The sequence below is a fragment of the Homo sapiens genome, chromosome 7, assembly GCF_000001405.40.
Source record: "Homo sapiens chromosome 7, GRCh38.p14 Primary Assembly".
NCBI lineage: Eukaryota > Metazoa > Chordata > Mammalia > Primates > Hominidae > Homo > Homo sapiens.
The window spans coordinates 151,006,279-151,028,341 of record NC_000007.14 but is presented as its reverse complement, the minus strand read 5'-3'; the positions used below and the strand labels follow the sequence as shown (position 1 = coordinate 151,028,341).

General features: G+C 56.9%; 2 protein-coding genes and 1 long non-coding RNA gene across 9 annotated transcripts in view, besides 9 other annotated features; 2 read left to right on the top strand and 1 right to left on the bottom strand.

The window, feature by feature from the left end:
* Positions 84–3,347, top strand: LOC124901777 (uncharacterized). Of its 2 annotated transcripts, none has more exons than XR_007060593.1 (3): positions 84–379; positions 1,330–1,535; positions 3,309–3,347. It is a non-coding gene; the product is annotated as an uncharacterized LOC124901777 (long non-coding RNA). The 2 variants fall into 2 exon arrangements; XR_007060594.1 differs by lacking the exon at positions 3,309–3,347 and adding an exon at positions 3,019–3,057.
* Positions 519–1,123: an enhancer, noted in NCBI's record as "NANOG-H3K27ac hESC enhancer chr7:150724306-150724910 (GRCh37/hg19 assembly coordinates)". NCBI's record gives its function as "activates a minimal SCP1, AML or CMV promoter by ChIP-STARR-seq in naive H9 embryonic stem cells {active_cell/tissue: H9 hESC(naive)}" and the evidence as "EXISTENCE:reporter gene assay evidence [ECO:0000049][PMID:30033119]".
* Positions 1,124–1,727: an enhancer, noted in NCBI's record as "NANOG-H3K27ac hESC enhancer chr7:150723702-150724305 (GRCh37/hg19 assembly coordinates)". NCBI's record gives its function as "activates a minimal SCP1, AML or CMV promoter by ChIP-STARR-seq in naive H9 embryonic stem cells {active_cell/tissue: H9 hESC(naive)}" and the evidence as "EXISTENCE:reporter gene assay evidence [ECO:0000049][PMID:30033119]".
* Positions 2,333–2,937: an enhancer, noted in NCBI's record as "H3K27ac-H3K4me1 hESC enhancer chr7:150722492-150723096 (GRCh37/hg19 assembly coordinates)". NCBI's record gives its function as "activates a minimal SCP1, AML or CMV promoter by ChIP-STARR-seq in naive H9 embryonic stem cells {active_cell/tissue: H9 hESC(naive)}" and the evidence as "EXISTENCE:reporter gene assay evidence [ECO:0000049][PMID:30033119]".
* Positions 3,843–16,133, top strand: ATG9B (autophagy related 9B). Of its 6 annotated transcripts, NR_073169.1 has the most exons (18): positions 3,843–3,921; positions 4,315–4,468; positions 4,612–4,655; positions 4,833–4,897; positions 5,136–5,297; positions 7,013–7,154; positions 9,895–10,048; positions 10,292–10,471; positions 11,070–11,306; positions 11,521–11,654; positions 11,815–11,911; positions 12,107–12,233; positions 12,319–12,460; positions 12,629–12,982; positions 13,219–13,396; positions 14,053–14,260; positions 14,430–14,612; positions 14,934–16,133. NR_073169.1 is itself a non-coding variant. In XM_011516065.3 (14 exons), the coding sequence occupies exons 1-13, from the start codon at positions 3,919–3,921 to the stop codon at positions 12,444–12,446; spliced, it is 2,775 nt and encodes a 924-aa protein (XP_011514367.3). In that variant the 5' UTR covers positions 3,848–3,918; the 3' UTR covers positions 12,447–12,460; positions 13,219–13,840. The 6 variants fall into 6 exon arrangements, 2 of the variants coding, with proteins under 2 accessions (XP_011514367.3, NP_001303985.1); NR_133652.1 differs by lacking the exon at positions 12,629–12,982 and adding an exon at positions 8,968–9,722 and having other exon boundaries at positions 3,843–4,468; positions 13,219–13,339; XR_007060009.1 differs by lacking the exons at positions 12,629–12,982; positions 13,219–13,396 and adding an exon at positions 8,968–9,722 and having other exon boundaries at positions 3,848–4,468; positions 14,053–14,612; positions 14,934–16,130.
* Positions 9,232–9,301: a silencer, noted in NCBI's record as "silent region_18790". NCBI's record gives its function as "represses an Ori minimal core promoter by ATAC-STARR-seq in GM12878 lymphoblastoid cells {active_cell/tissue: GM12878}" and the evidence as "EXISTENCE:reporter gene assay evidence [ECO:0000049][PMID:35858748]".
* The window catches only part of NOS3 (nitric oxide synthase 3), a 23,572-nt gene continuing 15,262 nt past the window's right edge, over positions 13,754–22,063 (bottom strand). Inside the window, exons 15-27 of the mRNA NM_000603.5 lie at positions 21,848–21,915; positions 21,337–21,453; positions 21,066–21,240; positions 19,280–19,412; positions 19,075–19,153; positions 18,757–18,944; positions 18,055–18,227; positions 17,535–17,745; positions 17,356–17,443; positions 15,870–15,991; positions 14,963–15,111; positions 14,424–14,618; positions 13,754–14,334 (exon numbers count right to left, since the gene is read on the bottom strand). Of these exons, the coding sequence (NP_000594.2) occupies positions 14,173–14,334; positions 14,424–14,618; positions 14,963–15,111; positions 15,870–15,991; positions 17,356–17,443; positions 17,535–17,745; positions 18,055–18,227; positions 18,757–18,944; positions 19,075–19,153; positions 19,280–19,412; positions 21,066–21,240; positions 21,337–21,453; positions 21,848–21,915 (1,860 nt within the window). The 3' untranslated portion in view covers positions 13,754–14,172. The remainder of the gene's footprint in view (positions 14,335–14,423; positions 14,619–14,962; positions 15,112–15,869; positions 15,992–17,355; positions 17,444–17,534; positions 17,746–18,054; positions 18,228–18,756; positions 18,945–19,074; positions 19,154–19,279; positions 19,413–21,065; positions 21,241–21,336; positions 21,454–21,847; positions 21,916–22,063) is intronic.
* Positions 14,361–15,052: an enhancer, noted in NCBI's record as "H3K27ac-H3K4me1 hESC enhancer chr7:150710378-150711069 (GRCh37/hg19 assembly coordinates)". NCBI's record gives its function as "activates a minimal SCP1, AML or CMV promoter by ChIP-STARR-seq in primed H9 embryonic stem cells {active_cell/tissue: H9 hESC(primed)}" and the evidence as "EXISTENCE:reporter gene assay evidence [ECO:0000049][PMID:30033119]".
* Positions 14,526–14,725: a silencer, noted in NCBI's record as "silent region_18789". NCBI's record gives its function as "represses an Ori minimal core promoter by ATAC-STARR-seq in GM12878 lymphoblastoid cells {active_cell/tissue: GM12878}" and the evidence as "EXISTENCE:reporter gene assay evidence [ECO:0000049][PMID:35858748]".
* Positions 19,548–19,597: an enhancer, noted in NCBI's record as "active region_26844". NCBI's record gives its function as "activates an Ori minimal core promoter by ATAC-STARR-seq in GM12878 lymphoblastoid cells {active_cell/tissue: GM12878}" and the evidence as "EXISTENCE:reporter gene assay evidence [ECO:0000049][PMID:35858748]".
* Positions 20,525–21,105: an enhancer, noted in NCBI's record as "H3K4me1 hESC enhancer chr7:150704325-150704905 (GRCh37/hg19 assembly coordinates)". NCBI's record gives its function as "activates a minimal SCP1, AML or CMV promoter by ChIP-STARR-seq in primed H9 embryonic stem cells {active_cell/tissue: H9 hESC(primed)}" and the evidence as "EXISTENCE:reporter gene assay evidence [ECO:0000049][PMID:30033119]".
* Positions 21,106–21,686: an enhancer, noted in NCBI's record as "H3K4me1 hESC enhancer chr7:150703744-150704324 (GRCh37/hg19 assembly coordinates)". NCBI's record gives its function as "activates a minimal SCP1, AML or CMV promoter by ChIP-STARR-seq in primed H9 embryonic stem cells {active_cell/tissue: H9 hESC(primed)}" and the evidence as "EXISTENCE:reporter gene assay evidence [ECO:0000049][PMID:30033119]".

The window sequence follows — 22,063 nt, the reverse complement described above, 5'->3', positions numbered from 1 at the left end:
CCTCCTTTTGGAACTGTGATTGGAGGGAATCGCCTATCCGCCCGCCCCCTGCTCTGGGCGGAGCCGAGCAGGAAGTGGGCCTGGCTTTTGCCAGGTGCTCCTGTGGGCTCCGGGTGACGTCCAAAGGGTGTGGCCCGACTGGCCCTCCAAGCTATGGAGTATCCATAGTAACGCGTCAGCCGCCGACCTCGGGCCATTTTCCCAAGGCTCCAGGATCTCTAGATGTCCCGTCGTCTCAAGGGCGTGTAGAACGCGGGTTTTGGGGGAGGAATGAACAAAAATCGACTGGGAGTTTTTTCAAAACACGTACATATGCCCTGCCACCCACCCCGCTCTCCTAGGTGCGTCAGAACTGCTGGGACATCTGTCACGTGAAGGGGTGGGTTGCCCCTCCACACCTGTGGGCGTTTCTCATTAGGTGGAAGGAGAGACTTGGAAAAGAAAGAGACAGAGAGACAAAGTATAGAGAAAGAAAAATGGGCCCAGGAGACCGGAGTTCAGTTTACGGAAGATCCACGCCGGCACCAGCCTCTGAGTTCCCTTAGTATTTATTGATCATTATCGGGTATGGCAGGATAATAGGATAATAGTGGAGAGAAGGTCAGAAGGTAAACACGTGAACAAACGTCTCTGCATCGTAAACAAGGTAAAAAAAAAAATGCTGTGCTTTTGATGTGCATACACATAAACATCACAATGCCTTAAGAAGCAGTATTGCTGCCAGCCTGTCCCACCTCCAGCCCTAAGGCGGTTTTCCCCTATCTCAGTAGAGATAGGCTTTACACCGAGACATTTCCATTGCCCAGGGACGAGCAGGAGACAGAAGCCTTTCTTTTATCTCAACTGCAAAGAGGCATTCCTTCCTCTTTTACTAATCCTCCTCAGTACAGACCCTTTATGGGTGTCGGGCTGGGGGACGGTCAGGTCTTTCCCTTCCCACGAGGCCATATTTCATCACATGGGGAGAAACCTTGGACAATACCTAGCTTTCCTAGGCAGAGGTCCCTGCAGCCTTCCTCAGTGTTTTGTGTCTGGGTACTTGAGATTAGGGAGTGGTTTGAGATTAGGGAGTGGTGATGACTCTTAAGAAGCATGCTGCCTTCAAGAATTTGTTTAACAAAGCACACCGTGCACAGCCCTTAATCCATTTAACCCTGAGTTGACACAGCACATGTTTCAGGGAGCACAGGGTTGGGGGTAGGGTTACAGATCAACAGCATCTCAAGGCAGAAGAATTTTTCTTAGTACAGAACAAAATGGAGTCTCCTATGTCTACTTCTTTCTACACAGACACAGGAACAATCTGATCTCTCTTTCTTTTCCCCACAGTCACGTGTACTTGGGGAAGAACTCCCCCGGTGATTCTGACACTCTTGCCCTACGCCTCAGCCATTGAGAACTATTGGTATGGAGGGCCTGTAATTTATCAAGGCGCGGCCTCAGATCTGTCTGCCTCGCAGATACCTTCCTCACCCGGGTCAGAATGACTTGCCTCAGGCTCCTGCCAAAGAGTTTGCACCACTCGTTTCTTCCCTGTAATTACTTGTTTGCGTATTTGTCTCCCCACTGGGCTGCAGCTTCTTGGGTAGTGGCTCTGTTTTATTCATCTGTCCTCTTCCCTTCCAAATGCTTGGCAAGGAAAAGTGCCCTTTAAAATAAATCGACTTGAATTGGGAGTGGTGGTAGGGAGGCTGTCAATGAGAATGAATTCAGGGTGAAACTAGGTAGGACAATGTCCCAGGATTAGTTTGGGGTTGAGCTGGGGAGCTCTTGGTGTATGGGGGGGTCCTATTGTGACTATGGTGGAATAGCCACGATACTGAGTGACATTGGGCGAGTGAGGTGGGGGAGAGACTAGACAACACCCCACATAACCCATCTTGACAGATGTCTCAGAAAGATTATGGGAATTTCCTGGCCCCTCTGCAATGTGGGATTCCATTTTGCTACCTCTAGAAGGACAGGGTCTTGTTTTCATAGCTCTGCCTCCTACTCTGAGATAAAGGCATGCAAGACCTGAGCTACTACTACAATACCCCACACAGAAGGAGAAAATCAGGCACATCTGGATTCAAGTTTTGTGGGTGATTCCATGATTGCCTCCAGTGAACAATCTGGGAAGCACAGTGTCCATATCGCCATTTCAGGGGTACTGGCCCCAACATCAGCCCTTAGGCCTAAGCCCTAGAGACCTTGACACCTGGTGGCTGAGTCAGTATCTCAGTAATGGGCTTTAGAAGGAAACCTGGTGATTCAGGGCCTCAAGAATGGCGTTGGGCAAGCCACCAGACCAGCTGCCTGGGTCTCCTCCTCCTTGTTGAGGTGACAACAAGGAACTCAGTTCAGCTCCTCCCTGGGTATCCAAATTATCCTTCCAAGTCCCAGACTCACAGCTGTCCTCCCTTCTGATTCAGCCCTGATGCTTTTCAGGGGGTCCCAGAAGTGGGATCCGGACTTGAGAGAATGTCACAGTTGAAAATGATAAGGATGCAAACGGAATGGAACTTTCAGAGAACCCCAATTTTCTACTCTAAGTTCTCCAAACCAACTCTCAAATCCAAGATAGCTGCCTTTCCTTTCTTCACCTCCTCTTCTTAGTTTTCCCCAACTTGGCTGCAAAGTCAGCCTCCCCTCTTCTCTTCCTTAGCACCTCAGACCAATAAAACATGCAACCTTTTCTTATTCTTTTTAAAAAATTTATTTTTGACCAGGCGCAGTGGCTCACGCCTGTAATGCCAGCACTTTGGGAGGCCAAGGCGGGTGGATCACGAGGTCAGGAGTTCAAGACCAGCCTGGCCAACATGGTGAAACCCCATCTCTACTAAAAATACAAAAAATTAGCTGGGTGTGGTGGCACACACCTGTAGTCTCAGCTACTCAGGAGGCTGAAGCAGAAGAATCACTTGAACTTGGGAGGCGGAGGTTGCAGTGAGCCGAGATTGTGCCACTATACTCCAGTCTGGGTGACAGAGTGAGACTGCCTCAAAAAGAAAAAAAATTATTTTGTTTGTTTTTTAGATTTTGTAGAGATGGTGTTTCCCTAAGTTGCTCAGGCTGGTCTCGAACTCCTGGCCTCAAGTGATCCTCTCGCCCGGGCCTCCCAAAGTCCTGGGATTACGGGTGTAAGCCAACATGCCTGGCCCCTTTACTTCTTCTTTTCTGTTTTGGTCACAAAACATTTCTCTGTTGATCACTGTAGTGTGTGTGTGGAGGGAAGTGGGGGAGGTACACTCTTAAGAAATGAAATAGTTAACATCTTGGTCCTAAGATTTGTTGTAGAGATGGAGTCTTCTCATTCTGTTCCCCAGGCTGGTCTTGAACTCCTGGCCTCAAGCAATCCTCTTTCCTCGGCTTCCCAAAGTGCTGAGATTGATTACAAGTGTGAGGTACTGCGCCCTGCTACAATCCTTTAATAGGATGTTTTTGGGGGGGGTGGCAGGGGGCAGGATCTAGCTCACTGTAACCTATACTGTTCCAGTGTAACCTGCACCAAGCCATCCTCCCACCTCAGTCTCTTGAGTAGCTAGGAACACAAGCACACATCACCACACCTGGCTCTAACACGATTTTGCTTTTTGCTTTTGTCATTTTGGCTGCTGTTCTTTTTATCTTTCATTCATTCAAGGTCTGAAGATGGAGATAATAGGAATCTTCTCATCTCAATGTGCTCTTTGGCCCCTCCTCTTAAACTGATGCCCCTCTCAGGCCCTGAGGGATTTGGCCTCAGGTTGCCCTGGAAGGGGTGTGAGTGATCAGACAGGTGACTGAGAGCTGGGACGCCTGAGGCCTGCCTAGGCTGAGTCACCTAGTAATGTTGTTGTCATTGTTCCTGTTGAAGTCCCAGCTCAGTGTCACAGACCTTTGTGGAAGCAACAACAGCTCCCATCCTTCCAACCTTTCTGGAGAAGCCGTGGCCTGATGGTGAGCCGAATGGGCTGGGGGGGGAGAAGAAGGCGGCTGGGGCGGTGGGGAGATCTGGGGCCCGGATCGGTGCCCCTCCTCCCCATGCCACTGCCACCTCCTCCTCCTCCTTCATGCCGGGGACCTGGGGGAGGGAGGATCTCCATCTTCTCTCTGTCCCCTGCCCCTCATACAAGAAGCTCCCCCTCCTCATTTTCCCCTCCCACCGCAGGGCCCCCTTGCTCAGTGCTACAGGGGACAGGGGCTTCTCAGTCTTGCCACAGTGCTCTCCCTATCCCAGCCACCCCCCCAACACAGGCTCAACCTGCAATGACACCTGCCTCTGCATCTCCCTCCTGGGGATCCCACTCCACCCCACCCCTGGCCCCGGCAACCCCCACTCCCTCACAGCAGTGCCCCCAGGACTCTCCTGGGCTGCGGGTAGGCCCTTTGATCCCTGAACAGGATTATGAGCGGCTGGAGGACTGTGACCCTGAGGGGTCCCAAGACTCACCCATCCACGGGGAGGAGCAGCAACCCCTGCTTCATGTCCCTGAAGGGCTCCGAGGTATGTGTGTGGGTGTGGGTGGGAGAGGGTTAGTGGTGCCTGGGAGCTCCAGTACTTATCCCAGGCTGGGCCTCTGGCAGCGGGTTGAGAACGTGGAGAATTGATCACATGCCAGGGGCTGACACTCTCCCCTCTGTGCCCAGGCTCCTGGCATCACATCCAGAACCTGGACAGTTTCTTCACCAAGATATCCTTTGCGCTAGGCCTGCAGAGGTGGCATGGGAAGGTCCTCTTGGAGCTGGCACTGTTCTTGGCAGGGAGACTCCGTGAGGGCGTCATGGGTGGGAGACTTGTTGGGGCTGAGGGGAGGTGTCCTCAGGAGAGGCCCCCCGTGCCTCAGGCTTGTTCCTTGACACGCAGCCACATCTACAGCTACCACCAGCGGAATGGCTTTGCCTGCATCTTGCTGGAGGATGTCTTCCAGCTGGGGTGAGACGCTTAGCCCGGGCCCGGAACTCGGTCCCCTGGGCCCATGGCTTCCTTCTGTCATTTTGCTTCCTTAATTGTGCCAGCTGCTTCCATCCCATGCTTTCCCGAGCAGCCCAAGGGCTCAGCAGGGGCAGGGTCAGGGAGGATAACCATGGGCTGCTCTGGGGGCTGGGGCAGGAGCCCACCTGGCTGTCCCTGATCACTGCAGCATCCCGGCACCCCCCCTTCCTCCCGGCAGACAATTTATTTTCATTGTCACCTTCACAACCTTCCTCCTTCGATGCGTGGATTACAATGTTCTCTTTGCCAACCAACCAAGTAACCATACCAGACCTGGGCCGTTCCACAGCAAAGTGACCCTGTCAGATGCCATCCTACCCTCAGCCCAGTGTGCTGAGAGGTTAGTGACAACCTGGTGGGGCCCTGGGGGTGAAGCATGGGCAGTGGGTAGAGGAGTAGACGGGAGCCCCACTTTGTCCCGTCATCTAGATCAGCAGTTCTCAAAGCTTTTGGTCTTAGGACCAAAAATACACTTAATATACTTTAAGTTGTACTTAAGTGTATTAAGTTGTACTTAAAGTGTATTAAGTATATCTTTTTTTTTTTTTAAGACAGAGTTTCACTCTTGTTGCTCAGGCTGGAGTGCAATGGTGAGGTCTTGGCTCACTGCAACCTCCACCTCCCAGGTTCAAGCAATTCTCCTGCCTCAGCCTCCCCAGTAGCTGGGATTATAGGCGTGCACCACCACGTGTATTTTTAGTAGAGACAGGGTTTCACCATGTTGGCCAGGCTGGTCTGGAACTCCTGGCCTCAGGTGATCCACCCACTTTGGCCTCCCAAAGTGCTGGGATTACAGGTGTGAGCCACTGTGCCCGGCCTTTTAAGTGTATCTTAATTACAGTGCATTAAGTGTATCTTAATACACTTAAAATTGGTTGAGAATCCTGAAAAGCTTTTGTTTATGGGAGTCGTATCTATCCACATTTTACCTTATAAAAAATTAAAATTAGGCCGGGCATAGTGGTTCACACCTGTAATCCCAGCACTTTGGGAGGCTGAGGCAGGAGGATTGCTTGAAGCCAGAAGTTTGAGATCAGCCTGAGCAACAAAGTGAGACCACATCTCTATAAAAAATAAAAATTAGCTGGGCTTGGTGGTGCGTACCTGCAGTCCTAGCTAAGCCTAGTCAGGAGGCTAAGACAGTGACTGTCTCTGATCACTGCAGCATCCCTACACCCTCCTCCCTCCCAGCAGACGATTCATTTTCATTGTTGCCTTCACAACCTTCCTCCCTGAAGCATGGATTGCAATGTTCTCTTTGCCAACCAACCAAATAACTGTTCCAGACCTGGGCCGTTATTTGGCAGGGAGATAGGAGCTATGTTTCTACTGCTGCACTACAGCCTGGGTAACAGAGAGAGACCTTGTTTCAATAAAAAGGAAAAAAAAAAAAGAAGGAAATTGTAGCTGAGAACAACTTTAAAATGTAAGAGTGCGGCTGGGCGTGGTGGCTCACACCTGTAATCTCAGCACTTTGGGAGGCCGAGGCGGGCGGATCACAAGGTCAGGAGATCAAAACCATTCTGGCCAACATGGTGAAACCCTGTCTCTACTAAAATATACAAAAATTAGCCAGGTGTGGTGGCGGGCGCCTGTAGTCCCAGCTACCCTGGAGGCTGAGACAGGAGAATCATTTGAACCCGGGAGGTGGAGGTTGCAGTGAGCCAAGATTGCGCCACTGCACTCCAGCCTGGGCGACACAGCAAGACTCCATCTCAAAAAAAAAAAAAAAGAGTGTACAAGCACACATTTCATCAGCTGTCAGTGTGATGTGACATGTTCACGTGTCTTGTAGCCTCTGGAAAACTCCACTGTACTCTCAGAGTACAAGAATGAAAACATCAGAAAGCATTAGTATTATTTGGAAAAAGTTTGACTTTGCACATTTGTGAAGGCCACTTCAGCACCCACCCCCTGCCCCGGGCTCTACCTTGAGAGCTGCTGGTCTAGCTAGATCCCCCTCCTCATGATGGTTTTTCCTCACTCCCGAAGTCTGGTCTGCCTCTTTCTCAGGCGCCCACCTTTCTCCCCCACTGCCCGCCCAACCCCATACAGGATCCGCTCCAGCCCGCTGCTGGTCCTCCTCCTGGTCCTGGCTGCCGGCTTCTGGCTGGTCCAACTGCTTCGCTCAGTCTGCAACCTCTTCAGCTACTGGGACATCCAGGTGTTTTACAGGGAGGCCCTGCACATCCCCCCGGTGAGCTGGGTGGCTGTGTCTGTGCAGAGGGTGCCGTGAGAGGGTGGGCAGAGGAGAGGGGAAGAAGTGGGACTGTACAGGTGGAAGGGCCAACTGGAAAGAGGGCAGAAAGAGCGAGGTCTTATTGACACCTGCCCTAGGCCCAGAATAATGTCAGGAGGGGGCTACCACCACCTAGAGAGCATGGCCCTTACCCTAAGGGAGTTTAGTTTATTTAGATGGCTCATATAAGATGACATATAGTTACATGTTTGTGCTAAAAACATTGATTAGAGAAAAGAGAAAGGGCAGTTATCTGGCTTTTCAGAGCTGGAGGAATTTGGGTTGGGCTTCGGAAGGGCAGGACAGGAGGGGAGGGGAGCACATTCTAAGCCCCAGTGCAGGAAGGTGGGGAAAAGCCATGAGCTTTTGGAAGCTGCAGTGAGGAGATGGACCCATCAGCCTAAAACAGAGCCTTCAAAGCCATCCCCCGCATTGCAGGAAGCCACTGCATTGGCCTGTCACTGTCCACTGCTTATGCTCTGCCCTTTGTTTCCTCACCATCTTGAGTCTGCTCCTCCCTCCTCTGTATCTAAGTTCTTTCTTTGAGGCACAGCTTGAAAGTAGCCTTCTGCAGCTTGCTTCCCTTGCTCCCCTGGGAGGTCCGGAGCCCTCTGCACAGCCTTTATGTGCAGCAAGGGGAGAGGTCTTAGAAGGCCCCTGAGCAGAGGAGAGGGAGGAGGCCGGGGAAGCAGAGGTGGTGAGAGCGGAAGCTGGACCTCGGATTGGCTCTGGCGGGAGACTGCTCACCCGTCTCGTTCTCCTCCTCCCTTCTTTCCCCTCCTCCCCTGTTCCTTCCAGGGGAAGGGAAGGGAAGACACTGGGATGTACTGGAGAGGCCAGCCTGGGGGACTTGACTAACCTGGACTGGGAAAGCTGAGTGAAACTGGGCTGAAGTGAGGTTTGCAGCCTTCAAATGAGATCTGACAGTGCCCCACTGCCAGATGTGGACATAGCCCAGGTCCTGGGAAGGCTTCTGGTGACAGAGCCGAAGATGGCCTGGAGTCGGGTGGGGCTGGGAGTGTAAAGCATGCCCAGGCAGAAGGTGGGGAGGATTCTGTTCCAGAGTTGGTGGGTGCACTAGAAATGGGAAGGAGAGATTCTCCCACGAACTGCCAGACATTCTGGTTTTTTGTTTTTTTGTTTGTTTTGTTTCTTTTGAGACAGGGTCTGGGTCTTTCACCCAGGCTGGAGTGCAGTGCTGTGATATTGGCTCACTGCAGCCTCTGCTCCCCAGTAGCTGCAACCACAGGTGCACACCACCACGCCCTGCTATTTTTTGTATTTTTAGTAGAGACAGTGTCTCACCATGTTGCCCAGGCTGGTCTCGAGCTCCTAAGCTCAGACGATCTGCCTGCCTCAGCCTCCCAAAGTGCTGGGATTACAGGTGTGAGCCACCGCCCCTGGCCAGCCAGTCTGTTTTGTGTGTACAACTGAGGGGGCCTCAGGCCCTTAAGGAGCTGAGAAGCCAGGTCCAGCACCTGGAGGCGTCCCCAGGAAGTGCATGACTACTGGCCACATGAATGGCAGGGATGATGAACAGGGCAGTTTAGAAGAGGATGAAGGAAGTAGGGCGCGCCCTTGTTAGTGACAGGGTTAAGGGAGGGCAGAAAGAGAAAGGTGGGAGAGGGGGACGATGTAGCTTGGTCATGGCGAGTTTGTGATCGCAAACTCAGTTTGCGGGTTTTCAGGCCGCACACTTAGGGGTGTGGAGCTTGAGCATCACTGTGGAGAGGAATGGGGGGTCGCTGGCTCTCATCAGTGCCCCTTTCAGGAGGAGCTGAGCTCGGTTCCCTGGGCAGAGGTGCAGTCCCGCCTCTTGGCACTGCAGCGGAGCGGGGGCCTGTGCGTGCAGCCGCGGCCCCTGACGGAGCTGGACATCCACCACCGCATCCTGCGCTACACCAACTACCAGGTGGCGCTGGCCAACAAAGGCCTGCTGCCGGCCCGCTGCCCGCTGCCCTGGGGAGGCAGTGCGGCTTTCCTCAGCCGCGGCCTGGCGCTCAATGTCGACCTGCTGCTCTTCCGCGGTCCCTTCTCGCTCTTCCGCGGGGGCTGGGAGCTGCCGCACGCCTACAAGCGCAGCGACCAGCGGGGCGCCCTAGCAGCGCGCTGGGGGCGCACAGTGCTGCTGCTGGCCGCCCTGAACCTGGCGCTGAGCCCGCTGGTGCTGGCCTGGCAGGTTCTGCACGTCTTCTATAGCCACGTGGAGCTGCTGCGGCGCGAGCCTGGCGCGCTGGGGGCGCGCGGCTGGTCCCGCCTGGCGCGCTTGCAGCTGCGCCACTTCAACGAGCTGCCGCACGAGCTGCGCGCGCGCCTGGCCCGCGCCTACCGCCCCGCCGCCGCCTTCCTGCGCACCGCTGCGCCCCCCGCGCCCCTGCGCACGCTGCTGGCCCGCCAGCTCGTTTTCTTCGCGGGTGCACTCTTCGCCGCGCTGCTTGTGCTCACCGTCTACGACGAGGACGTGCTAGCCGTGGAGCACGTGCTCACCGCCATGACCGCGCTCGGGGTCACCGCCACCGTCGCCAGGTGCGACGGCAGATGCCCGGGGTGGTGGTGTGTGTTGGTTTCTCTGATCTGGGGCCATGTGAGGTTCCCCCCGAATCCTTACCTCTCCCACCACTGGGGCCCTCTAGCCCTACATCCCACCGCGCGTCCTCCTAATCGCAGGCCCCTTCCCCCCACGGATCCCGCCTTTCAGGTCTTTCATTCCGGAAGAGCAGTGCCAGGGTCGTGCGCCGCAGCTCCTGCTGCAGACAGCCCTGGCCCACATGCACTACCTCCCGGAGGAGCCCGGCCCCGGCGGCAGGGACCGCGCCTACCGGCAGATGGCGCAGCTGCTGCAGTACCGAGCGGTGAGGGTGGGCGCGACGGCGGGCTGAGGAGGAAGTTGTGGGGTCTGTCTGCGCGGAGGGTCTGTCTGCGCGGAGGGTCTGTCTGGGAGAGGGCATGAGACAAACGGACTATACCAGGAGTCTAGGGAGTGACTGGGTGGGGAGGCTTCTTGCCCTGGCGAGGGTCGCTGGGGACTGCTTGGTCCTGATAACGCGCGTGGGCCCCTCAGCGACCCCTGCTCAGCCTCACCGCTGCTTCCCCAGGTCTCCCTCCTGGAGGAGCTCCTGTCCCCGCTCCTCACCCCGCTGTTTCTGCTTTTCTGGTTCCGCCCTCGTGCCCTGGAGATTATCGACTTTTTTCATCACTTCACTGTGGATGTGGCTGGGGTTGGGGACATCTGTTCCTTTGCCCTTATGGATGTGAAGCGCCACGGACACCCTCAGGTCAGAGCCGTTCCCTGGCCCTGGGGGTTTGGGCTGGGTGGGAGTTCGCTTGCCTCTCGGGAGCAGACCTGAGTTCCAGCCCTGGCTCCATTGCTTGCTACCTGTGCCGTTGAGCGGGTCACTTCCCTTCCTGTGCTCTCGTGCCCTCGTCTGTCAGATGGCAACAATGGCAATGTGCTCTCCAGAGCACAGCCAAGGCCAGGCTTGTGAACACACAGATTATGTCTGTATAGCCTATGATGGAGTTGCTGGCACATAGTAACGTCAGTAAATGGGAGCAAAGACCACCTGGGGGTGAGGAATGGGCTTGGCCGGTGGGTGGGGCTGAGTAAGGACTGGTGCCTGGACCAAGGCTGTCAGGATCACCCTGGGCAAAGCACTGAGGCTCAGCCCTATCCCCGAGCTGGCAATCAGTCCAGGGGTGACGAATAGATGACAGGCCCAGGTTCTGCACTGCTGCTGTATTTTTGGGTGATGGTGAACAAGTCCCCATTGTGGTCTGTTTCCTTCACGTGGAAGATGGGGCAGTGTTTCCTGTCCCACCTGTTCCCATAAGGCTCAGTGTTCTTAGCACCTGAAAGACTGTCCTTGCTCACAGTGGCTCTCGGCGGGACAGACTGAGGCCTCGCTGTCTCAGCGTGCGGAGGACGGCAAGACTGAGCTTTCTTTGATGCGGTTCTCCCTGGCGCATCCACTCTGGCGCCCCCCAGGGCACAGCTCTAAGTTTCTTGGGCACCTCTGGGGCCGAGTACAACAAGATGCAGCTGCCTGGGGTGCCACCTCGGCTCGCGGCCCCTCCACCCCGGGGGTGCTCAGCAACTGCACCTCGCCCCTGGTGAGTCCCAAGCCTGGCCTCCCCTTCTGCCTTCACCCCCACAACTCCTCTCCAAACCCTTCCCCTCTAGGCTCACCTTAGGTAGTAACCTGCCTCACCAGCCCCCGCCCCCAGCCTGCTCTCCTGCCTTCTTTAGGCCTCTGCTTCCTCCCTACTCCGTTTCTGTCCTCTCTTCTGACTCCCTCTTTGGCTTTCCCTCTCCTCTTGCACCCAGCCTGAGGCCTTCCTGGCCAACCTCTTCGTGCACCCTCTCCTGCCTCCGAGAGATCTGAGCCCGACAGCCCCCTGTCCAGCTGCGGCCACAGCCAGCCTCCTTGCCTCCATTTCCCGAATTGCCCAGGACCCCAGGTGAGGAGTGGAGGCTGAGATGCAGGGGCATGTGGAGGGGGGTGGGCTGATCCTGTAGGAGTGGGGAGCTGGGGCGCTGAGGGGGGATTCAGAAGGGGAGTCCTCTGGGGTGTGGCGGGAGGAGGGCATGACTTTTGACCTGCTTCATGTTATGTTCCAGCTCTGTGTCCCCAGGAGGCACTGGGGGCCAGAAGCTGGCCCAGCTCCCAGAACTTGCTTCTGCCGAGATGAGTCTCCATGTCATCTACCTGCACCAGGTGAGTAGAGGGGTGCCCAAAGGAGAAATGTGGAGAGAAGGCAGGTGAACAACATGGAGACTGAGGTGGGGTGGAGTCTACGGAAGGGTCTAGCAGAGTGGCAGGAGGAGGCTGAAAAGCCCTCTGCCTCTAGCCCAGGTGCTTGGCCCTGCCCTCCTTGGGGTGCAGCCCTCATTCCTCCTCCTTTCCATGCAGCTTCACCAGCAGCAGCAGCAGCAGGAGCCGTGGGGTGAGGCTGCAGCCTCCATCCTGTCCAGGCCCTGCTCCAGCCCCTCACAGCCACCCTCGCCTGATGAGGAGAAGCCATCCTGGTCAAGTGACGGTGAGGAGGGTGGGGCCTGCAGGGGACAGAGCCTGGTGGACACTGGGCATCATGGAACTGCCCAGCTGATGGCCTTTTTCACCAGGCTCCAGTCCTGCCTCTAGCCCCAGACAACAGTGGGGAACCCAGAAGGCCCGGAATCTGTTCCCCGGAGGGTTTCAGGTGACCACAGACACCCAGAAGGAGCCTGACCGGGCCTCTTGCACTGACTGAGACGACTCCTCAGGGTCAGTATTGCCTCCTGTGAGGGGAGGGAGAAAGGACGGCATAGGTAGTTGGTTTGGAGTCCGACTTGAAGCGATGGGAGCAGTGGTGGGAATTTGGGGTGATGGGAGGTGGTCATCTCTGGAATCTAGACCCCTGGACTGCTTGCCAAGAGCCGTCTCCTCCCACAGGTACCCTGGCTTCGGCAGCCACAGGAGATTGGAGGGTGGAGTAGAAAAACACAAGGAGTCATTGTTAGAGGCCCCATAGATGACAGGCCCAGGTGCTTTAGTTGGGCAGGACCTGGGAGTCAGTGAGGAACTCGCCCCGAGAACAGAGAAAAGGTAGGCAAGGAGAGGAGATGCTGATGGCATCTGGAAACAAGTCTTAGAGATGGTCTGCACCCAGAGGGAATAAGGGGAGACATCCCCAACTGGAATGTGTCCTGGAGCAGCTGCCTGGGAAGAAGTCCTCGAGTTTCCTCAAGGTGGGGGACAGAGGTCAAGGATGAGGCCGAGCTAAATGGAAGGGCGACAGTGAGGCAGGTGGGCTTTAAGGCTGTGGATTCGTCATGCTGGCGGCTGCCAGCAGCACTTTCAGGTTCCTTGGGGCTTGTAGGGGATGGGGACTTGTCAGTGGAAAGACGGGAGGGATGATGTTTTTGGACTTCAGTACGGGTGTGATGTCCCAGGAAGTGGGTGTGGCTCCCCATCCTGTATGAAATAAGCAGTAAAGCTTGCTCATGGCTGTTGCACATCTCTGTGACTCTTGTTTCTGGCAGGCCCCACTCCTGGCAGCTGAGTGCTGCACCTGCCTTCTCGATCACGAGCCTGAGAACTGCACGGGGGAGCAGCCCAGACTGGCTGGAAACCATGTTTTCAGAGTGCAGGGTCAAGTGGCGTGTAGGACTCTGTCAAAAGAATGACCCCTTTCCCCACCACATACCCACAACTGCACAGGTTAAAACAGAAATCTTGTCATTTTATAATTGTAATCCACGCCGGGTGCAGTAGCTCACACCTGTAATCCCAGCACTTTGGGAGGCTGAGGCGGTTGGATCACGAGGTCAGGAGTTCAAGACCAGCCTGGCCAAGATGGTGAAACCCCGTCTTTACTAAAAATACAAAACCTAGCCGGGCGCGGTGGCAGGCACCTGTAATCCCAACTACTTGGGAGGCTGAGGCAGGAGAATCACTTGAACTTGTGGGGTGGAGGTTGCAGTGAGCTGAGATCACGCCACTGCACTCCAGCCCGGGCGGCAGAGGGAGACTCCGTTTCAAAAAAAAAAAAACAAAAAAAAAAAACTGTAATCCACATGAGCTGGGGTAGGCACTTTAGTAGTTCTCCTAACATCTGGCACAGTCCCTTATGGTAAATCTTCAATAATAAATACTTGATTTAGAGATTAGACTTTACAGGTAAGATACTCCTGAGAGAGGCAAGAGGAATCTAACATTCGACTAAGAAACAGGAAGCGGGTGGCAGTAGGCCCTGGGGTACCGCTGCTGGGAGGGGCCTTCCAGATTAAGGCGGACCCAGGCCCGAGGCAACAGGCCTAGAGAGGGAAAAGAGGCGTTTTGCTCCTTCCTGGAGGAATAATGCTGAATCCTTGCAGCCTCTGGACAGATGTGAGAAGGCACCACCTCAAGAGGGGAGGAGCGGGGCTGATCCTGGTCGGGCGGACCTGAGTCGGGCAGCCGCTCTCCCGGAACTGGAAGGGAAAGCCAGGCGGCTCTCAGGGGCTGTTGGTGTCTGAGCCGGGAGGGTCGAACGCCCAGGGCACTGCGCCCCGCAACTGACGCTCCTGCAAGGAAAAGCTCTGGGTGCGTATGCGGCTTGTCACCTCCTGGGTGCGCAGCGTGAGCCCGAAAATGTCTTCGTGGTAGCGTTGCTGATCCTGTCGGAAAAGAGCACAGTGGATCAGAACCCGACTCGGAGACCTTAGCAGGAACCCCGCACGCTCAGGCCCGGCCCGCCCCTCCGCACCCGCAGCACGCCGATGACGTCGCCGGCCTCGTCCAGCTCCATGTCGCCCTCCGTCGCCAGGATGCGCTGCACGGTCTGCAGGACGTTGGTTGCCATGGTAACATCGCCGCAGACAAACATGTGGCCCCGCTCGAGGCACAGCACGCGGTGCACCTCCGCAGCCAGCTCCGTCCTCAGGATGTCCTGCACGTAGGTCTGCGGGGCGGCGGGGTTAGGGCGGGCCCTGGTGGGGGTGGGCGCGGGGGCGCAGCCCGGGGCTGCTGGCTGGCCCTGGACGTGAAAGTCTCCGGAGCGGGCCTGGTGGGGCCTGCGTGCCCTGGGGCGGTGTCAACAGGGGCAGAGCCAAAGGGGCGGGGCAGGGGCGGGAGGAGGCGGGCCTAGAGGGGCCGGGGCACAAGGGTGGGCCAGAGTGTGCAGGGGTGGCTGAGTGGTCGTGGGAGGCCACGGGAGGGCCGTGGTTGGTGTGCCCCGCTGGAGAGCGCGAGTCCTCCCCTCTCTCCCTATCTTCAGGTTACCATTGCGCCCTCAGGGTCTCACACCTTGGGGTTGTCAGGTTCCCGGGAGAAGGCGGTGAGGACTCGGCCAAACACCCCGCGCTGCTGGGCGTTCTGCACCTCGTCGCGGTAGAGATGGTCAAGTTGGGAGCATCGGCAGCCGAACACCAAAGTCATGGGAGTGGGCTGCAGCCCTGCAAGCAACCCCGCGCTTGGGAAGGCTCTTCTCCGGGGCACAGTGCTAGTGGGGCCTCCCCACAGGCCACCGTCGCCCAGCCTGGCAGCCCAGCGTTTTGGGCTGAAACCACCATTACTTTGGCTGTTTCATCTCTAAGAGAGTGTAGAATGCTTTCACAGAGACCCTGCACAGCCCTGATTTACAGAGGGAAGGGAAGCGCGGGTGAGGTGGTGGCCCCTGGTGGAGCTGCGCTAGAATGCGCGGCTTCGGACTCAGAATTCCATGCCCTTTGCATTGTGTGACATCGCAGTCCCCTTCCCCGCTCCCACTTCATATTCTCCCATACTTATAACTCTCCTCCCAGTCACAGCCCTCTTCTTTTGATTGACAGACCACCCTGGGCACCCCATGCTCAATATGAACACCTTGTAGCATCCTTAGGTCTTGGACAGACCTCGGTCAGCTCTGGCACAGTCAAGAATCCACCTTGGGCAGTTCTTCTTTGAGTCTTAGCCCTAATCCCTTTGAAAATTCTATTTTCCTTTGTCCTCAATCCAGTCAACACCTACTATGTACCAGGCACCAGGAAGCCAGAAGCTCAGGGCCCAGCCCTTGCCTTTGGTACCTGCCCTCCCCTTGGTCTCATGAGCGTCTTTTCAGCTTTGTGGACTTTGTTTCCTGCCCTCTCTTTCCTATTTCCTGCCTTCCAGCCCCACCCCTCTGTCCCTAGATTGTGTGACTCCCTTCAGGCAGTCCTTTAGTCCCCAGCCTCACCTTTGCTCTCAATGTCATGCAGCCGCTCCTGCCAGAATCCCCGGAAGGGGGCAATGCCAGTGCCTGGACCCACCAGGATGCAGGGCAAGCTGGGATCGGGTGGCAGCCGGAAGGAGGGAGCCCTGGCAGGAGAGACACTCCATCAGGTCCCCTTTGCCTTTCCTGCTCCACCATTCTCACCATGCAGGGTGGGTGGAGCAAGGAGGACCCAAGTTCTTCCCATCTCAAAAAAAAATTAAAAAAAAAACAAAAAACAAAAAACAACTCTACTTGCTGAAACTCCTTGGATCTGTGGTTTCTGGAGATTGCACCAAAGGAAATATAGTTCATTTTGGATTGAAGAATACTTAGATGACTCAGGGGATTTAGAAAACGTGGGAAGGGTGAAAGACACTTTCAGTTCATAATGGGTTCACTAAGTGTGTTTATTTTAAGTATCCTTAATAGTGGTATTTAGTTTATGTTCAGTAGATGGGTACGGTTTATTTGTAGTTTAGCCACCTGGGTGGATTTGAATCACCAGGCCCAGCTGATGGCAGCCTAGGAACTGTTCTCAGTCCTACCAGGACTTTTGGTTCCTGGCTGCGAGAGCGGGCAAGACTTCTGGACACAGCATGAAGGAAGGGTCTCTTAAAATCCTTCACCCTCGGTCCGGGCGCGGTGGCTCACACCTGTAATCCCAAGACTTTGGGAGGCGGAGGTGGGAGGATCGTGAGGTCAGGAGCTCGAGACCAGCCTGGCCAACATAGTGAAACACCGTCTCTACTAAAAATACAAAAATTAGCTGGGCGTGGTGGTGGGTGCCTGTAATCCCAGCTACTCAGGAGGCTGAGACAGGAGAATATTTTTTTTTTTTTTTTTGAGACAGAGTCTGGCTCTGTCGCCCAGGCTGGAGTGCAGTGGCACAATCTTGGCTCACTGCAAGCTCCACCTCCCAGGTTCACGCCATAGGAGAATCTCTTGAACCCGGGAGGCGGAGGTTGCAGTAAGCCGAGATCGTACCACTGCACTCCAGCCTGGGCGACAGAGCAAGACTCCATCTCTGGGGGAAAAAAAAACCAAAACCTTCACCTTCTTTGAGTCCTTGGTGACACCAAGGCCAAGGGTGGTCTTAACCCTAACTAGTAGTTCTCCCTGGATTGAGTGAGGATTTAGTGACTGTAGTTCCCAGGTGCCATGCTGCCCAACATCAGACAGCCCAGGGACATAGAGAGGAACACAGAAGCTTTCAGAAAGCCACAGGGCCAGCCGGTTTGATCCCAGCTCTGGCTCTGGGAGCTATAGTTTCAGGGCAGAACTCTGAGTCTAAATGAATGAGAGAGCCAAAGCTTAGCCAGAGTTCTGAAGTGACCTAATGACACCACACCCTTGACATGTTACAGAGCTCCTTCCTGTTTCCAGTGACACCCCTCACCAGTGACACTCCTCACCAAAGCTGCCACCCTGACCCTGGGCAGCTCCCCACCAAGTCTTCCATCTCACTTACCCCCGGATGAAGCAGGGCACAGGGTCTCCGGGCTTGAGCTGGCTTAGCCACGTGGAGCAGACTCCATAGTGCAGGGGGCCCAGCCCATCTGGGGGTGGGAAGGAGAGGCCGGTGAGGGGCCAGAGAGGGGCCGGTCCCAACCCTGCTGTGGCCAGGCCTGCTCCTGCTTGTTGCCTCACCCTGAGTCCTGTATGCCAGCACAGCTACAGTGAGGTGGATCTCTCCTGGGTGGGTGCTGGGTGCCGAGCTGACTGAGTAGTACCGGGGCTGGAGCAGAGGCAGCTGGGTGAGGAGCAGTGGGGCAGGCAGCGCCACCGACGGGAACTGCTCCAGCACCTCCAGCAGCGTGGGGCAGCGGAACCACTTCCACTCCTCGTAGCGTCGGGGATCCTGGCGGGGCAGGATGCAGTGGGTTGGAGGCCCCATAGCCCTTCCTAGTAACCTCCCTTCTTGACCCCTCCCCCACTGAGCCTCTTTAGGGTTTCTCCCTGCTCAGTTCAGGCCAATAGAGTTTTCTCTAAGACCTGGAGAATCCAGCCATGAATTCCTCCCTGAGGAGCTGGGTCTTAAAGCACCAGTGCATGTCGGCCAGGAGAAGAAAGTCCAGGGGGGACTTTGCATGGGGGTTTCCTGCCACTGGGGTCCCCCCAGCTCATCCCGTCTCTCTAGCCCCTGTGCCTCATTGGGGTGGCCCCCAACCTGGCTGAGGGCCTCCAGCTCCTGCTGTTCCCTGGGCTCTTCTGCCAAGGTGCTGAGCAGCCGCAAGAGCTGAGGGCTGGGTGGGGAGGTGATGTCCAGGAAGAAGGTGAGAGCCTGGCGCAGCGTGCACGGGGGCAGCCGGGGGTCCCGCACCCAGCCGGGGGGAGGGCCACCTGGGGATAGTGCACAGGGAGCTCTGAGGACAGGGCCCAGCAGGACTGCAGTACCTGGGCTGATGTTTGTGTTTTGGTGACTGTTAGAGAGCCTGCCCTTGAGCAGCGGGGTCGGCCTGTCTAGGTAGCCTCAGTGTATTGTTCGGGGGCCCCTGGCCGGACTGGGTTGGTCTGGGCTCCTCTGCCTCTGACTCCACCCCCTTATTTTAAATAAAGCCCAGGCATTGATGTGGCAGCAAATAGCCCCAGTGCCAGCTCCAGAGCAAGCTAGATTGCTAGGGGAGCCTCGGAGAGGAGCCCAGAGGGAGGGGACAGCCTTTTGGTGGGGGTGCATTTGAGGGTGTGGGGATGGTCCAGCAACAAGGCCAGCCCGGCAGTGGGCAGCACAGCCAGCTCTGAGCCTGCCTGCTGAGCTGTGGAGGAGGTGGCCACCCCCTGGGTCGGGTCCTGAGCTCCTGGAGGCCTGGGGCCGGGGGTGGGGCTGGGCATGGGGCTGGTGTGCCCTGTTGCTTCCCAGGCTGCCCCTCACCAGGGCTGCCCTTCTCCAGCTGCTCTACTGCCACGGGCTCAGTGGGCGCCGGCGGGTCCTCCACGCGGCTCAGCAGCGCCTCCACAAGGCCGGGCCGGTTGGGCGGGCAGACACCTATGTGGTCCCCCGGCTGGTACTGCAGCCCCTCCTGGCCTCCGGTGTCCAGGCGCACCAGGATGGTGGCCCTCCTGGGGGTGGGGAGAGGGGCACTTATGGGGAGTCAGAGAGGGGTGGGGGCGGGAGAATGTGGGAGGAGGAGGGTCCAGGGTCAGGGTGTTCAGGACAGGGGTGGGGGGGCGGTAAAGCCGTCGTCCTCACGTGGACTTGCTGCTTTGCAGGTTTTCCACTGAGCGGATTGTAGCCTGGAACATCTTCCGCCTGTGCACGTGGATCAGACCTGGGGGCGGGGAGGGGCAAATGAGGCAGCCTGAGCTAGGGAGCAGGGCCTGGCCCCAGAGTGCTTTAGTCCCGGGGTGTGGGGGCCTCAGAGAACCAGCCGGGTTAGGGTGAGGGCAGGGCCCACCTGGCAGCAACTGCAGGCCCTCGGCCTGGGCGCTCAGCCGGTACCTCTGGCGCTTCCAGCTCCGTTTGGGGCTGAAGATGTCTCGGGCGGCGGCCTTGGCATCCTCTCCCACACAGAAGGTCTCACAGGCGGCCTGCGGGACAGGCCGGTGAGGGCTGAGGACCTCCCGCCACCAGGGGTCGCCCTAGTGAGGCGCCTGGGCGGCTTCACTGCGTCTTGCTCCTGGGGGGTTGGCAGCCCCAGTGGCTGAGGCCGGCGCCAAGGACAGCACCTTTTCCGCCAGCCCATTTCATGGATTGGCCGCTGGGCCCAGGGACCCGGCTGGCTCTTTCTCTGCACGTCCTGATTGGTGCATCGTTCCTTATCTGGTGCGTGTTAATCCCGTGATCCGAGAAGCATAGTGCTTGGCACACGGTAGCTCTGTGAAGGCGTCTGTGTGTTCAGACCTGCATTCAAATTCCGAATCCCGTACTTACAGTGACATGCCTCAGTTTCCCCATCTTTACACCTCATTGTGTTCTGGTGAAGATTAAATGAGATACTTTATGTAAAGCCCTTAGCTTTCCACAAAGTGCGTGCAGATAGTAAGTGCTCCTGGGAAGGGACGCACAATTCGGGCGGCAGAGGGGACCCCACGGGGCAGATCCCTGGGAGGGTGTGGATCCCGTCTACTCCTGGTCAGGCACACAGCTGGAAAACTGCTGGGCCAGTCCCAGGCTTGAAATGCAGGGCTCACCCGTGATTGGCTGAGCCTCATATCACCAAGTCCCGTTAATCTTTCTTTTGTGGTGCGTGTGAAGTCTTATATCTCTTCCTTCCTTCCTCGGCCCCTCCCTCCCTTCCTTCCTATCTCCACTGCTGCTGCTCTGCTTAGCTCAGCCTTCCTGCTTCTGGTTCGGTGATGCTGTAATGGATCCTACGCCTCTAAAGTCCTATTCCCAAAACCTGATGATGTGGTCTCATCCCGCTGCAATGGCTCTTTTTGTTTAAATTCTTTAAGTCTTATTTTCCGTTCCCTTCTTCCCAATCAGGGCCTATGTGTTTCTGCAGCCTGACCTCCCCGTCCCTGAGGTAGCCCCCACTCCCTCTCCTCCTAGGATGCCCTCCTCCTCCAATCAAGGCAAATCTGCTGAGCTCCAGCCTGGGCCCCGGGACAGCAGCACTGCCCTGAACAGTGTGGCACTGGGGAGACCGAGCCCTTGTCAACTGCAGACATGATCCCCAGACAGGCAGCACTGCCCCTGAGGAAGCCCAGGCTTAAAAAGCCACAGCCCCCAGGGATCCACCTCTCCCTGTGCTTGCTTGCCCGGCCCGGGACCAGTTCTGCGGTGCAGGCACCGCCCCAGGCTGTCTGGCCTCTGGCTTCCTGTGGCTTCTGTGCTGGCCTCAGCTTCAGCCCTTGCCTCTGTCTGACCTTCTCTCTGTCCCTTCCTTCTCCCTCCATCCTGCCCATCCTGGGTGGGGTCCCCTGCCCTGCCCTGCACCCCCTCCCTTTGTGCGCCCACTTGTGAGGCCCAGCCTGTGCCTGGCTGAAGCTCCCTCCTGCCAGGGCCCTGCCTGCTCTCTTTCGGCTGCACTTCTGCCTGGGCTAGGCACCCCTGTGGTCGGCAGGGCCATGTCATCCTCTGCCCCTGACCCAGAAGAGCTGGCTATGCCATGGAGAGATGAGGGTGGATTTTGGAAGGAACAGGAAGGGACCAAAGAACCAAACAGAATCAGGGCAGAGTGAGGCAGGAGGAGGCATCCCAGGGGGCAGGAGTCAGAGCAGGGGCTGGGCTGGGCTCACCTGGAAGGCAGCCTGGGCCCAGCCTCGGAAGGCCTCCTCCTGGCCGCACAGCTCGTCGCCCTGGCCCAGCTGCAGCAGCCGCTCCCCGCCCAGTTCCTCCAGCCGTGTGTCCACGGCACGAGCAAAGGCGCAGAAGTGGGGGTATGCCCGGGAGCCGAGCCCGAACACACAGAACCTGGGGTGCAGGGGTCGTCAGTGGAGCTCCCTTTGCAGGCCACGTTTGCCCAGGCAGCTTGCCCACCCGTTGCACCCCTCTTGGTGAGGCCCTGACCTGAGGGTGCCCAGGGCCCCTGCACTGTCTGTGTTACTGGACTCCTTCCTCTTCCGCCGCCAAGAGGACACCAGTGGGTCTGAGCAGGAGATGCTGTTGAAGCGGATCTTATAACTCCTGGCAAGAGAGGACAAAGACAAGGTTGTCACAGGGCCCTGGGGATACAGGCTAGGCCCAGCCCCAGCCCCAGGGACGGCTTCAGGGTCTCTGCCTCTGGGACAGGAAAGGCCCTGCCCTTGGGAGGGGCTGAGGGCCAGCATCCCTGGGGTTCCGAGCCTGGGGCCCTGACACACCACACCCCCATCTCTGAAGACCTCAGGACTGTCCCGGCTCTCAGAAGCAGGCAGGTCTGGACTGCCATTGCAGCCTGGAATGGAGGGCATCCTGGAGCCCTGGCTTTTGGTGGGAAAACGACTTGAGGCACAGAGGGAGAGCTTTTCAGACCCCCTTTCTGTTTGTGTCTCCAAATGCATCAGCTCCCCCAGCTCCCCCAAACTCTCACCCAACTCACTTGTGCTGTTCCGGCCGAGGGGAGCTGTTGTAGGGGCCGGACATCTCCATCAGGGCAGCTGCAAAGCTCTGGCGAGGGGAGTGTTTGCATCAGGGTTAGTTTTGTTTCATTTCAAACTACATAGAAGTTTAAAACTGTACCAGCTGATCCTCATTATTATTGATTTGTAACTTAATTTTTATTTGTTTTGAAAATTTCAAAAGCGATCTGATGTTT